We start from the raw sequence: 15345 nt of genomic DNA on the forward strand, positions 1-15345 counted from the left end.
TGTGCACCACTCCACCTGGCTAATTTTTTTTTTTTTTTTGTAGAGATGGGGTTTCACCTTGTTGCCCAGGCTGGTCTTGAACTCCTGGGCTCAAGTGATCCACCCACCTCAGCCTCCTGAAGTGCTAGGATTACAGGCATGAGCCACTGTTTCTGGCCACCATAGCTACTTTCAAGTGAACCTGGGAAATTTGTGCTTAAGAGAAAACCAAAATGGATTTGTTTAATAAACACATAGTCCATCACTATGTAGTTCACCACAAACATATAGTAATACTTGTTGAATAAATGAAAGGAAGAAAAATGAAATGAATTTTCTTCTTCATAGATTCCTAGAGTATTAGAGCTGATGGGGGCCTTGGAAGTGATAGAGATTTTACCCCTTCTTTTATAGATGAGGAGCCTGAGGGCTTGAGGAATTTAGTGGCCAATGCAAGATCATCCAGCTGTTTAGTGGCAGGACCAGAACTTGAACCCACTTTCCCCAAATGCTGCTGTTTATTCTGCATTTAATTATTTAAAATATCATTGTTTTCTGCCATAGGGTTGCCCTTGCCTTTTGGAATGTGAAGATGGGTTAGGAGGTGGGAGGGGGGTTAAGGATGTTATTCTGATCATGATAGCTAGACTTCAGTTTTCTTTGGGGAAGAAGAGGTTTGGTATTTTAGGGTAGATATACCCTCAGGGCTGGAGGCTCTACAGCTTCTCAGTAATTTGTACTGAGAGTGAAAATTAATCTTCACTCACTCACTCATGTGTTTAAATAGCTTTTCTTTAGTCCCCTCCTATGTGTAACAAATCATCCAAGGTGATATGGATGCAATGATGAGCAAGATGTTCACAGCCTAAGGAAGGTGTCAAATATTTACACAATAATTACTAAATGAAATGAGGAGCAAGGAAGCAACAAGGTGGAAGGGACCAGCTGCTAGGGTGGGGAGGGAGAGGGCATAAGGAAAGCTTTATGGAGGCAGGGTCTTGAAGAATGGATCACAGTTTTTTGGGAATTTGATCTGTCCTGAAATACACACACTTGTGTTTGTGTAGTTGGTGCAAATCACCTTGGCCAGTTGTGGATGTGCATTGAGAAAAATGAAAGAAAGAAACTGACAAAAACCCAAAATGATGATCAATGCTCCTGTGAGCATTTGGTGCTCACATTTACCATTCATCGATAATTTTGTCAAGTTTTTACCAGTAAATGATTAATAAAATAACCTTCCAGATACAGCTCAAACATCAATAAGCAATATTTTATCACATGCCAGCAAGTTTTAGATCCAATGTGCCCAGCAATTTTTGGTTAGGTACAGACCCTTAGAATTTGTAGGGGCAGGGGTAAGATGCATGAAATAACAGTAAACTAAGTACCAGTATGAAGAGGAAGACACACACCCGTGTAGAGGATGTGCAAACACGTATATAGGTTTGCATTAGGAGGCCTGGTTTTCAGAAAGGTTTCTGTGAGATGTACTATTTAGAGCTGAGTTTTGGAGGGCTGATGGACATGCTTAGGAGTTGGCATCTCAAGTATAGTTACTAAATAGTGGTGAAAGAGCACGGGTTACTCTATAGTCTGGTGTAGAGGATTTTTGGAGAAGGGGGATCGAATGGAAGTTTTATAGTTAGTAAGTGGCAGAGCTTGGCTTAGTACCCCAGGCTTGTCTGACACCTGTCCTTCTCCCATAGCACCATAGTGCTTTGCTGAGAATGTGGGTAGGAGTCAGAATCCTATGATGCTTTCCGTTTGGAGGTTAGAGTCAGGGTTGCCAGGGGTCGATTATGAAACAGGTGATGTTCATTTTCAGCATCATTAGCTCCTCTTTGGTGTGTCTCTTCTCTCCTTGGCATTCATTTTCTCACACCCTTCCCAGCTGATTCACAGTAGGGTTTCAGAGGACTCTAGGACGTATTTGTATTATTTTAAAATATACATTTTAAATTCTAAAGTATCCTTATAGTAACAATTCAAGTTGTACAAAAAGGAGATAAAATGCAAAGTGATTTTCTCTTTCTCTAAAACCTTTAATCCTCATCTTTAAAAAAGTATCTTTTCAGAAATTTTATATGGACATTCAAGCACACACAATATATCCTCTTTTATCTGAGAGAACCCATTTAATATATGCATTTTCTGTAATTTGATATCTTTAATTAATATATGGAACAGTCTTTCATACAATTATATAGTTCTACTTTATTTTATTTTAATCAACAGAATAGTGGTCCACTGTACTGCTTTTCTGTGATTCTTATCGAACAGTATTTAAATTTATTTTCTTAATGTCTGCATTTATTATGCACTGTGTTGCAGAGAACATCCTTATAGCGATCTGCAAACTTGTAAAGGGGTTATTTGTAGGGGACTTGCAATGGAATTTCTAGGTTGAAGAGTGTGTGTATTTAAAATTTTTTTGAAGACTGTGTGTATTTAAAATTTTGATAGATATTGGGGAATTGTCCTCCAGAAAGGCAGTACCATTTTCATTGTATCCGCAGGGTATGTGAATGCCTGTTTCCTAAGGCTTTTTCTTTTTAAAGAGGACTTGAAGCCAGAGAAGAGGAGACAAAGAGCAGAGTGGGTACTAAAAGTAAGTGGCGGCCAAGAGAAACAGAAACACAGGTTCACACAAAAACTTGTGCATAGCAGCATTATTTATAGCAGCCAAACAGTGGAAACAGCCCACTGTTCATCCAGTACTGAATGGATAAACAAAATGGGGCATATACATACAATGGAGTATTATTCAGTAATAAAGACTACAGTGTGGATAACCTTTGAAAGCATGCTGCTAAGTGAAGTAAGCCAGTCATAAGATACCATGCATACTTATGTGAAATATCCATGTAGGCAAATCCATAGAGACAGAAAGAAGATAGTGGTTGCTTAGAGCGGGAGGTGGGGATGATTTGGGAAATGACTCCTGATACGTAAAGGGTTTCTTTCTGGCATGATGGGAATGTTCTAAAATTAGATTGTGGTGATGGTTGCACAACTCTGAATATATTAAAAACCACTGAATTGCATACTTTAAATGGGTGAATTTTACAATATGTGAATTTTATGTCATTAAAACTATTTAAAAAATAAGTGGTGGCAGAATGCATGGTATAGGATGGAAAGGATGAGGATATGGTCATTCTCACGGGCCTGTGGGTTGGGCAGGAAGACAGTGCCATAGCCAGCGAGCCAGGCAAGGTGGGGGAAGGTGTTCTGCCAGGCTATGCTGAGCCAGGTATTCAGGTGGCTGATGACAATCAGCTCTAGGGGTGGATGGTGGAGTTTTTTCCCCTAACAGAATAGAGACAAGAGGCAGTTGATGCCATGCCCTAGGCAGGGTCAGAACTGAGGTTAGTACACTGAATTTCTTACTCGTTGTTCTTGTTCAGTCCTTCGAATACACAGAAGATACTGTTCTCCTGGAAGGCAGTAATAGTTTCCTTTGCTGACCTAGAAATGCCTGCTGTGCTCCAGCATTTGGAAAAGGAAGGTCAGAGAGAGGAAGCTGAGCTCAGCTGCTGAGTCAAGGAAAAGAGAAGGAAGACCTAGGGGTCACCAACGAAGATGAGGCCCTCATTTGTGAATAAGTGTAGTCAGTTTTAAATTTAGCAATTAAGCTCTTTCTATATAGTGGAAGTGACTGTTCTTTTGGAATGTGTTTGCTAGTAAATATCATAAGAATGTTTAAAAGGAAGTTATGATTTTAAGTGACCTCTGAGTTGTGCTGATGGATAAAATTTAGCTCAACGGAATGAGGGTTAATCTCACGGTATACTCGGAAAGTTAAAGGGAAATCAACACACTTTTTCACCAAAGCCCGTTTTTCCTGGTGCTTGCGGCTGTTTGAACTTGCTCTTTGCTTCTCATTCCCCATCATCGTGGCTCCGTGGCATACATTAAATCAAACCATGACCTCCATACATTAAATCAAACCATGACCTCCGAATCTTCTTAGTTATTTTCAGGTACAAGGTTTTCAGCTTCAGAAAGGACAGAGGTCTCCATGGTTCCATTTTGAAGATTTTTGGGTGGCTACTGCTTGTTTACCAGCAGTTTGGTATAGAAGCCCAAGACAGTCCATGTGTGGTTCAGTATTGACCTAATAGCAGAATAAATTTGGACCAAACAGAAGTCCTTTTCTTTGTCACTGTGTTTGATTAACTATCCTGGATATGCTTTATTCTCTAAAAACTTCATTTTTGAAAATACCATGGTTATTAAACAACTAGTCTTTGTGCGTGATTAGGACATAAACAGGAATCTCACCCACTTTTAAACCTTTCCAAGAAATAACTTTTCCACTGATTTTATTTTGAATTGTTAAAAAACTTTTAGCAGGGAGAGAAAATTTGGTTGATGATTCAGAGCGCGAGGGAAAGGAAGCAAGGGATTCTGGCACATGCGCACGAGTTGAATGACAACTGGTGGATATTTTTATATTTATTGCTATTCTTAGCCTAAGGCCTGGAGCTGAGTAGGGAGTAACTAAGCTTAGCCATACTTATTAGACTTAGAGATTTTACTTTGTTTATGTCAATGTCAAGGCCTTTGGGAAAACTTTGGTATGCTTAGCTGATTTCTTGAAATACAATCTTTCTCTCATGCAATTTCCTCTCATTCAGTACGTGAAGAATAAAATGTTGACAGGTTAAACTGCAAGACAATCTAAGTTGCTGTTTATTTTTGTCTGTTAGCCAAATCTTAACTCACTATTCATAGCCACACAGGGTGTTTTTTTTTGGTTGGTTTTTTTTTTTTTTTGGTTTCAGTTTGTTTCTCCTAAATACATTTTAAAGATAATTAGTTATTGCCTGTATTAGAATTTCTTTTTGTGTTCTTGTGTTAGGATTCTGGAAGTAGCAATGAATTCACAGGAGAACTCAACAATGTAAGAGCAAGATGTTTCCACCACTTACTGAGTTGAGGGTATAAGATTTTATCCTTTGCCAGCCCCTTTAGAAATTGTGACTGTGAACTGCCATGATTTAACTTCAAAACACAGCCTGTTCTCTTGTCAGTGGAGCCAAAGCGTTATGCCTGAACAACGATTATAGGTTAGTATAGACAAGTGAAAAAGAGTTTTATTTTGCTGGATTCTGATACTACACATACTTAGGTTCAGCTAAATATCAAAATCGCCACAGCCAAGATGTAGTCATTGATGAGGACTTTAATTCTACCCAATGTCTGATCAATGTTTCATTCCATAGAAACATAGATGTTTCAATCCAGAAAAGCCTTTCTATTTTTTAAACCACAGATTGAGGAGGCAATGAGATGGAAATACTACCCTGAACTTAGTTCTAACTATCTAGAAAAATTTTTTATTGAAGTAGAATTGACTAAAACCTTGGGCGGGAGTAACCATGATAGTATTGTTTGGTAACTTCAAAAGAAAGAAAAGTTGGACATAACCAAATAGTAGTGGTGATTTTAGGAAAATATATTTCAAAGGAAAAAAACATAGATTTTTCAATATATAGAGGGATTTTTCAACATATAGAGACTTGAAAAGAGTACAAAAAAATAAAAAGAAGAAAGGAAATAGAGAAATAAAAAGAAAGTTTCTGACAGCAAAATCATCTTTTGAGGGAATGAGGAAAAAGAAAGAACCTTTTTTTTTTTTTTTTGAGACAGAGTCTCACTCTGTCACCCAGGCTGGAGTGCAGTGGTGCAATCTCGGCCCACTGCAACCTCCACCTCCTGGGTTCAAGCGATTCTCCTGGCTTAGCCTCTGGAGTAGCTGGGACTACAGGTGCCCACCACCATGTCTGGCTAATTTTTGTATTTTTTGGTAGAGAGAGTTTCACCATGTTGGCCAGGCTGGTCTCGAACTCCTGACCTCAGGTGATCTGCCCGCCTTAGTCTCCCAAAGTGCTGGGATTACAGGCATGAGCCACCGCGCCTGGCCCAGGAACCATTTTAAGATCAAGGAATTTTTGATGGGCTTGGATATTAAGAGAACATGTATAGAAGATTGAAAGACAAGCACATGATCAGGGACAAATTCAGAAGAGTGGCGTAAACCGGTAAGAAAATATCTGCAAAGCACAAGTTCATACTGAGCTGAAGCTGAAGAGAATGTTAAAGACAACAAGAAAGCTCTCTTTAAAGCTATGTTCATAACAAGAAAAACAAGTAAAGGCTAAGCTCGTTGCTTGGGGCAGATGGAATAATGTTAAAATATGACGAAAAACAGACCTACTCAACTATTTGGCTTCTCTTTCTCTATTAAAGACAATGATGTTCAAACTGGAATGTGTAACATAAACATAGTTAAGGATAAACTGAAGCATGCACGATAGATAATGATAATAATAGTTGTGACTACAATTTCCTGAGTTTCTATTCAGGACTGAGTACTGTAAAAGAGAATTTAGTTGCTTTTTAAAGTACTTACTGGCAGGCGTGCGCGGTAGATATTACTGTTATCAATCCCATTTACAGATGAGAAAACCGAGGCACAGGAAGATTTAATGACAAACCTGAAGTTACACAGTCGGTAAATGATGGGCTGGGATTCAGATCAAGGTCTGACTAACTTCAAAGCCTGGCTCTTTTCACTGGACTCCCTGATTCCCATGCCTGTCACATCTAGTGTTTTCAACAGGATTGCATTTTTTTGGTTTAAATTATATTGTAAGGCACATAAACAAACACATGCCAGTAGATGTTATTGAAGAGCCACAGTGTGTAATTGCTGTGAAACAAGGAAAATGGAATATCAAAATGATAAACAACACATAAAGACGTTCTTGATTACCTTTTTTTTTTTTTTGAGACAGAGTCTCTTCCTTCTGTTGCCCAGGCTGGAGTGCAGTGGTGTGATCTTGGCTCACTGCAACCCCTGCCTCCTAGGTTCAAGTGATTCTCATATCTCAGCCTCAGCCTCCTGCATAGCTGGGATTACAGGCACATGCCACCATGCCCAGCTATTTTTTTTTTTTTTTGTATTTTTAGTAGAGACACGGTTTTGCTATATTGGCCAGGCTGGTCTCGAACTCCTGACTTCAAGTAATCCACCCGCCTCAGCCTCCCAAAGTGCTGGGATTACAAGTGTGAGCCACCGTGCCCAGCCTCTTGGTTACTTTTTTTTAAAGGTTCTCTTTGAACCATCTAGAGCAAAGCCATCAAAGAGACTGCTGGGATCATGTCAGAATGATTCAGAAGCCAACCTGAGGGGATCCCCCAGAGGGCAAAGATGAGACAGTTTGAGCATCAAAAGGATTGAAATATATAAAAATATATAAAAGTCCATGAGTTTATGACAAAATTCTAAAGACACAAGACAATAAGACAAAAAAATCCCGCATTTGTCACTTCTGAGATTGTTAGGGCACCAAGTCATTGTTCTGAAAATGGATTTAAAAAGGAGATCTCACATCCACCCCTGCTTTCCTATTTACTTTATAGAGAATTACAGCTAATAAATGCAGAAGGGTGCTAGAAAAGTTTTAAAAACCTACAGTTTTGTAGCATCTAATGAAGTAATGGAGCTAAGCAACAACCATTAATGAATGATAAAATCAGGTAAAATTGGTGCTTTCTAACAGAGAATCAGGCTGACAACACTTGAACCCACGGATCAGTCTCCATATCACTAAAAGTGGAACAGCCGAACGTTAGTTATGCTCCTCCAATGTGATCTGATAGAAAAGAAACAGCACCACCTGTGAAGTATTCTTACCCACATCCCCTCCCTCAACGAGGCTGAACCAGAAGCTCATCAAACATGCACATCTAACTATTAATACCAGGTTATAGGAAATACGGGAGACAGAGGAACATGCTAAACACCACTACAAGGGTACAGATCAGCCAATGCCTGAATGTAGGAAGTTCTACAAAACAAATGACCCATTTTTGTTTTCAGTATATAAATGCTACGAGAAAAAAGTAGAGATGGGGAACTGTTAAGTACTGTAAACTAGTTCAACCATTGTGGAAATCAGTGTGGCGATTCCTCAGGGATCTAGAACTAGAAATACCATTTGACCCAGCCATCCCATTACTGGGTATATACCCAAAGGATTATAAATCATGCTGCTATAAAGACACATGCACACGTATGTTTATAGCGGCACTATTCACAATAGCAAAGACTTGGAACCAACCCAAATATCCAACAATGATAGACTGGATTAAGAAAATGTGGCACATATACACCATGGAATACTATGCAGCCATAAAAATGATGAGTTCATGTCCTTTGTAGGGACATGGATGAAACTGGAAACCAGCATTCTCAGCAAACTATCGCAAGGACAAAAAACCAAACACTGCATGTTCTCACTCATAGGTGGGAATTGAACAATGAGAACACATGGACACAGGAAGGGGAACATCACACACCGGGGACTGTTGTGGGGTTGGGGGAGGGGGGAGGGATAGCATTAGGAGATACACTTAATGCTAAATGAGGAGTTAATGGGTGCAGCACACCAACATGGCACATGTAAACATATGTAACAAACCTGCACATTGTGCACATGTACCTTAAAACTTAAAGTATAATTAAAAAAAACAAAAAGACTTAAGGGTGGGAGATGGAGCCTGCAGTGAGCTGAGATCACGCCACTGCACTCCAACCTGGGCAACAGCGAGACTCCGTCTCAGGAAAAAAAAAAAAAAAAGACTTAAGGGACCTGTAAACCAAATGCAGGTATGAATCTTGTTTGGAACTTGATTTGAACAACTGACTAACTAAAAAAATGCCTTTTTTTTTAAACAGGCAAAAATAAAACATACTCTGTTTATTACATGTTACTAAGGAATTACTGGTAATTTTATTGAGTTGGTGGTATTGTGAGTTTTAAAAGTCCTTATCTATTTAGAAGCACTTATTAATGAATTAATATGAGGCCTAAGACTCTTTAAAAAATACTCCTTCAAAAGAAAAAAAGTATGTGTATAGGGAAATACGTGAAATCAGAATGGTAAAATATAATAATTGTTGAAGCTTGGTGATAGGTTTTTGGGGGTTCTTTACACTTTCCTCTACTTTGTTATGTATGGAAAATTCACATAATAAAAACAGTCAAGTGTTCTATTTGAGAGGCAGAATTTTGGCAGAAGGCCTGGGTTATAACCCAATTTGTATAGCCTGGGGAGAGTCACTGCTACTCCCTCCTTTTTTGCCTCTTTCCTTTCCTTTTTACTTTCCTTCTATTTCTTAAGAAATCATTTGCTGGGCCACATTTTCCCCCAGGGACTGTCCTGGTACCATCAGCCTTCCAAGTTACAGGTATAGGTATTATTATTATTATTATTATTATTATTATTATTATTATTATTATTTTACAGATGAGGAAATCAAAGCAGAGAAGGGACTAAGTTTCTCACCCACAAATCCAGGTCTGCCTGTGTCCAAAATCTGAGCTCTTTTGTTTTATTTTATGCTGGCTCCCAGGAGTAGTCCTCTGATTTTATAATTTTTAAGTTTTTTTATTTTTAATTTTGTTTATGGATAAATTTTAAACAATGAGTAAATTAAGATAGATCAAGTGGAGTAGCATTTGTGTTTTTTGCATGTGAGAAAGATGCAAGGTATGGTTGTTACTGTAACAATTACAAAGATTTCATCAAAGGCAAGCAGTGATAAAAGCAAAATGTGTGGCAACTTTCTTCATATTCAGAAAAGAGTAAAAGCCTATAAATTGTAACTTTAAGCCATAAAATAACATTTATTTATGCTTGTTCTTCAAAAGCTTATATTTGATAATCTTTTTTGTTAGAAGTCGAAGCCTGAGAAAAATGGCTAATTTCATTTTTCATGTGTTTGTAAAATATTTTTAGGACTATCACAAGAAATTCCCTAAAAATGTCAAAGCAAATGAACAAGTGAAATTCTGCACATCCCTTGTGCCACTATTTTGTTTACTTACTGAAAAAATGACATTGGCTTTTGTAAAACCTGGGTGTGCTGGTGGGCATGTGCAGATGTGTCGCTGTCATCTGTCATGTGTCATGCTCTGGATGTCAGAACCAGACATCAGTCAGGGAAGAGAGTGAGTAGCAAGCCACCTCGCCAAACTCTTGCTGCAGGGTGCACGGGGTTCACATCCTCTGCTTAGATTTAGTGCGACTTTCCAAAACACCTGCAGTGCGGTACTTCATGGCTGGTCCCACGTAACAATTTATGCCCTAGAGATGTCTGACTAGATCTTAGGAAATTATACTAATGGTTCTGACGTTGTTTCCTTCAAGAATCGAGGCGCTAAATATAGTCAAGCTGAATGACAAAATTTTACTCACACTCAGGGCATGTCAGTGAGGGCATCAAAAATGGAAAAATAATAAATACTGCTGATATTTACTAAGTTTTATGGTATGACAGGCACTGCACTAAGTCTTTTGAATATCTAATCATGTTTAACTCTCAATGTCCCATTTTATAGCTGAGGTGGCCGCAGCACAGAGAGGTTAAGTGAGTTGCCCAAGGTTGCACGGTTAATAAATGGCAGAGCTGGGCTCTAAACCCAGGCCGTCTGACCCCTGAGCCTTTCCTCTTCTAACCACTGTGCAGTCTCCAAGCACCAGCAGAATGAAGTGAGCACGTGCTAATCCACAGCTGTCATGGTTTGGCCCTCTGTGGGCTTTCAGAGCACCTTAAAACCCTTTGTTCTGTGTCAGAGCTGTTTTTCAGCTTTGCAGATGTCTGAAGTCAAGCAGAAGAGATGGAGAGTCTGATAAAGCACACGTGGCAAATCTCTGGCCGAGTTGATATTAGAACACAGAGTCCCAGAGTGATTTACTGTCCAGGGGGAAAGCCAGTTGGCCTGGCTACCTTGCAAGACGGTTAAAGGACATAAGAATAGATATTCATTCAAGACTGTCAGAAAGAAAGTAGGTCAGCAATGAAATAAAAACAAATGTCAAAGAAACACCACTTTGGTATAAATAAAAAGTCGATTCTTCTTAATAAAGAGCTGTCTGTTCTTCATTAATTAGAAAAGTACAGAGCCTGCTTACTTTGAGATTCCAAAACCTCTTCAGGCACAACTCGTTATTAATTTGATCACTTTCCTCAAAAGAATGATATTTTGACAAATACAGTTTCTGGCTTCAGTCACATATAGAAACATTGGAATAAGTACAATGTTGTGTTTTGCTTTTTTTTTTAAAATAGGAACTATGTTTGATAATGCATATACTCCAAACACCTCTAAAAATAATTTTCAATTGGCAAGCTATTTTTTGGTGTATTTTCCTAGTCTGGGAGAGGAAGTTTTATCATTTAATTTGATAAACTTAGTACCTTTGAGAGAAAGGAGGAGAAAATTTTACCATCTTATGTGGTTGAAATATGCTTTAGTATTTACATAATTGAAAATGATTCAAACTGATTTCCTCTGACGAACATCCGAAATGAAAATAAAAATTGTGTCTACTCCAAAGGGTAGTGGCTTGAGTCACCCACTGGTATGTGTGACCTATGAGTCACTCACTGGTATGCGTCTTCCCGATCCCCTGGCCTATGGGTTAGAAGTCAAAGATGCTCCACTGGGGCTTCCTTTGTAGCTTCTTTTCCCCTTCAGTATTCAACCACAGCTACTGCTGGCAGCTCCTGGCAGAACAGGAATGGGAGACCAAGGAGAGGATATGTGGAAGCTGAGTGATTTATTTATAGGGGACTTTTGGCAAATGAAAGAAAATAGATGTGAAGTCTTAGCAGTTCCAGCATGTTCATCAGAAATGCAAGCTCATGATAGTCATTTCAAAGGGAATTGTGGAAGAATGGTGTTACCCTACTTCACAGGCCATTAAATCATATATATGTTTGGTTGCCAGTGAGAATCTGAGTAGCAGAGCAGACAAGAATAAGGACGTATGGGATCGAGGCCTGTAGCTTGTGACCATGAACAAGTCACGTGACCCTTTGGCCTTAAATTCACCATAAAGTCGTGTACTTGATCTCAGTGATTGTATCTTACTTCATCAAAATGGTATGATTCTAAATTCCTGTGGGATATACAGGTAAGACAGGACTGGTGGAGCATTAGGTTTGGTTTTTCCTTTAAAAGAAAGTGTTGGGGAGGCAGCAGGGAATAGCAAAGGTCACAGACTCAAAAGCATTAACTGCCGGGCCTATGAAGACACGAATGATGTAGGTTTGATATAATGGAGGTACAAATCCATGTTTTATGCAAAACCTCATATTTCTAAACTTTGGCAATTCATTCATGTTTATCAAATCACTGTTTTAGGCCCCCTTTGGCTGGCCAGTGGGCCCTCTGCTTTAGACTTCTGGAATAAACTCCACAGTTGAGAGATGAAGGACAGACCTGGATTCTAACAGACCTAAATTTGAACCTTAGCTCTGCCCTCTAAGGAATGTGTAAACGTATACATCTGTATTTAACTTCTCAAAGCTTCAAGTTTCTTTATCTGTAGAAATGAGAATGATAATACCTCTTTTGTAGGATTTCCTGAAGACTGCGGGTACTATGTATTAAGTATACATAGTAGGCACATCCTCAAAGGGAATTCCATTACCTTTTCTATGGAGGTAGATCCTGTATAATTTTTAAATTTTTGTCTTGATGGCCAGTTGCTCACAGTTTTTAAAAGTGTAGTAGATGCCAGCGCTTCTTTATAGATTCTGAAATCCCTTCAATTTACATTTTAGTTGTTTTAAAATAAAGATTTCTTTAAGAGACAACATTCAGAGGGATAAGTTTTCTACTTGCCAGTAGAGGTAGAAGGCAGTAAAACCAAATAGATCTGTCAGTTACTGTCTTGAGGTAGAGCCCCTAAAGCAATAAAACCCACCTTTGACAATGAGGAAACACGAGACATCATTTTCTCCTTAGGACAAAAGTCTAGTGAGTAATGGCCCTTCTGTGACTAATGGTAATTCTGTACTTTATTCCCATAGAAAATCTAATTTTGAAAACATTTGCTGCATGCCCTACTATGTACTAGGCACTATGCCAGGGGAATAATGTAAAGATGACCAAAACATAATGGAATTGTTGCCTACAAGTATGTTTCGGCTATTTAAGGATTTATATTGCAGTTTGTGCAAATTGTGTATGAGTCCACTTTGAGAGGTTATACATATCTTCCAATAATGTTGCTATTGCTCAAAATATCTTTGAAGTCTCTCTTTGGAATTTACTTTTAGAGCCCTTAGCACATTCTGCTGAAGATTTTTTTTTTTTTTTTTTTTTTTTACCCTAGTGGTATTTATTCTTAGAAGGTGGATTTGATGTCAGGGACTGGCCAAGAGTTGTTCATCACTAAGTCAGCCTCATGGGTGGTGGTTAAACTGGCTAGAGTAATTTTTCGTTAAAAACGAGCCAGGACTGTAAAGTAGTATGACAGGGTTTTTTTTTTTTTTTTTTTTTTTTTAATATCACATCAACTGATTGTAGAGAAAAAGATAGTTCCAAAAAGGCATTCTGCACATTTTTTGCCCCAAACCAGTATCACTGGAATATATTTGTAGCTCCCTAACAGGCTAACTTTGAAATAAGTGGTGCTCACATGTGCATGTGTTGTAGTACGTCTGCTGAACCTTGTACTTAACCTCTTAGCAAACTCAGTGTCTTTGTTTTTTCCTTTGAAATGTTGTTTTTTCAAGTTCAGGGATAGATTTTCTCCAAGAAAATGAAACAAATAAGATCCACTCTCAAAGGACCTTAATGGAAAGAAATACATGCTTATACCAAGTTCTTTAAAACTATCCAAACTGGAAAGGATTGCCTCATAGCTGACTGTGATTATTCTGCCATGATTTAGGGACAGATAATTTCCTATCAGCATGTTTAACATGAGAATTAAAGAGTTCTGTAGTGTGGCCTATTGACCTCATTTGTTCATTCCACAAACATCTTTTGGAGTCCACTGTATGGCAGGCATTATCACTTACCATGGTGAGGATGGTGAGGCCATGAGCATGCTTCACCTAAGGAAGCCTGATCTTCAAGAATGCAAACTCACTCAACAAGAAACTTGAGAGTAATTAATAGTAGTGTTGGTAATTATCCTGTCTTTTCCTTGTAGGATTATTTGGAGGTTGTGAAGTGGTAAGTCTCTTTATTGCATTTGAAATATGGCTCATCTCATGACCATTGGAATGTGTGTACGCTCTGGAGGAAACCCATCTCTGCCATGTCACCTGTATTAGTCTGTTCTTATGCTGCTATGAAGAAATACCCAACACTGGGTAATTTCTAAAGGAAAGAGATTTAATTGACTCACAGTTTCTCAGGCTGGGGAGGCCTCGGGAATTATGGTGGAAGGCACCTCTTCACAAGGTGGCAGGAGAGAGAATGAGTACCCAGCGAAGGGAGAAACCTCTTATAAAACCATCAGATCTCGTGAGAACTCACTCACTATTACGAGAACAGGATGGAGGAAACCATCCTCATGATTCAGTTATCTCCACCTTGTCCCTCTCATGACACGTGGGGATTATGGGAGCTACAATTCAAGATGAGATTTGGGTGGGGACACAGCCAACCCGTATCAACACCTGACCACAGTGTGTGTGGTCTCTGAGGCCCAGTGGTGGCTCTCAGAGCACCTCCTTAGCAAATGTACCACTGGACCCTTGTTAGAATGATGTTCTTGATTTTTTAAAATTTATTTTTGTCTCTTGACTATTCTTGATTCAGGAATGTTCTTGATTTTAAAGGGAGGGTGTGAGGTAGTTGTTGTCTAGTTGTCTAGATATCCTCCACCTGAGAACGCTGTCTGGTGTCATAGAAACAGCAATGGCATTGGGATCAAAAGACAAACTTTCCAGCCCCAGCTCTGCCTCTCTTTAGCAGTCTCCTGACCTATACAAGGTTCAGTTTTCCCACCATTTAAGGGAAACCAATACCACTGTTTTATTCACAGCACTCTTGTGGGAATCACAGGAGACAGGGCACGGGAGAGCCTTTGGGGAACTGTGGATGTTAGTCCCTGTCGTCATCAGCCTTTCCATAGTGGAGCCTGGGCTACTCTGAAATAGAAGCACCTCTCCTTCCTTTGGACCCCTGGAGCACTGTGTTCTACAGTTCTTAGCTCTTTTTCTGTGTGCATTATTTGTATGTCTTATCCTTGGTGGTCAACCACTTCAAGGTGAGAGACTGGGGTGGTGGTTCCTTTTTTTTATTTTTTAATCTCCCCTGCCCCATCTTTCTCTTTCCCACTTCCTATGTTGACTGACAAAATCTTCGTATTTCCCAGAGTACCAGAGTTTTTCTGTGAGAGGCTAGGTCAGTGTTTCTCCCCAAGCAGAGGCTAAGAAGTACCTGATGCAGTCATTTATTTTCAGAATGTGTGTAGCTTGCCTCCAGCGGATTGCCTGGGAAGCTGGAGATGTGCTTCAGGGGAAAGGTGGTCCATCCACTT

At 39.1% G+C, this 15345-nt stretch overlaps 1 protein-coding gene across 6 annotated transcripts in view, besides 4 other annotated features; it reads left to right on the forward strand.

The window, feature by feature from the left end:
• The window catches only part of CRADD (CARD and death domain containing adaptor protein), a 217466-nt gene that overhangs the window by 96603 nt on the left and 105518 nt on the right, over positions 1–15345 (forward strand). The gene's annotated exons all lie outside the window — the stretch shown is intronic.
• Positions 10476–10770: a silencer, noted in NCBI's record as "tiled region #12336; HepG2 Repressive DNase unmatched - State 4:PromP, and K562 Repressive DNase matched - State 5:Enh". NCBI's record gives its function as "represses a minimal TATA promoter and a strong SV40 promoter by Sharpr-MPRA in HepG2 and K562 cells {active_cell/tissue: HepG2 | K562}" and the evidence as "EXISTENCE:reporter gene assay evidence [ECO:0000049][PMID:27701403]".
• Positions 10476–11087: a biological region, named in NCBI's record as "Sharpr-MPRA regulatory region 12336".
• Positions 10588–11087: an enhancer, noted in NCBI's record as "H3K27ac hESC enhancer chr12:94178341-94178840 (GRCh37/hg19 assembly coordinates)". NCBI's record gives its function as "activates a minimal SCP1, AML or CMV promoter by ChIP-STARR-seq in naive H9 embryonic stem cells {active_cell/tissue: H9 hESC(naive)}" and the evidence as "EXISTENCE:reporter gene assay evidence [ECO:0000049][PMID:30033119]".
• Positions 11100–12299: an enhancer, noted in NCBI's record as "P300/CBP strongly-dependent group 1 enhancer chr12:94178853-94180052 (GRCh37/hg19 assembly coordinates)". NCBI's record gives its function as "activates an origin of replication core promoter dependent on BRD2, BRD4, P300/CBP, MED14 and CDK7 cofactors, with strong dependence on P300/CBP, by STARR-seq in HCT116 cells {active_cell/tissue: HCT116}" and the evidence as "EXISTENCE:reporter gene assay evidence [ECO:0000049][PMID:35650434]".

Source organism: Homo sapiens, chromosome 12 (genome assembly GCF_000001405.40).
Source record: "Homo sapiens chromosome 12, GRCh38.p14 Primary Assembly".
NCBI classification, from domain to species: domain Eukaryota; kingdom Metazoa; phylum Chordata; class Mammalia; order Primates; family Hominidae; genus Homo; species Homo sapiens.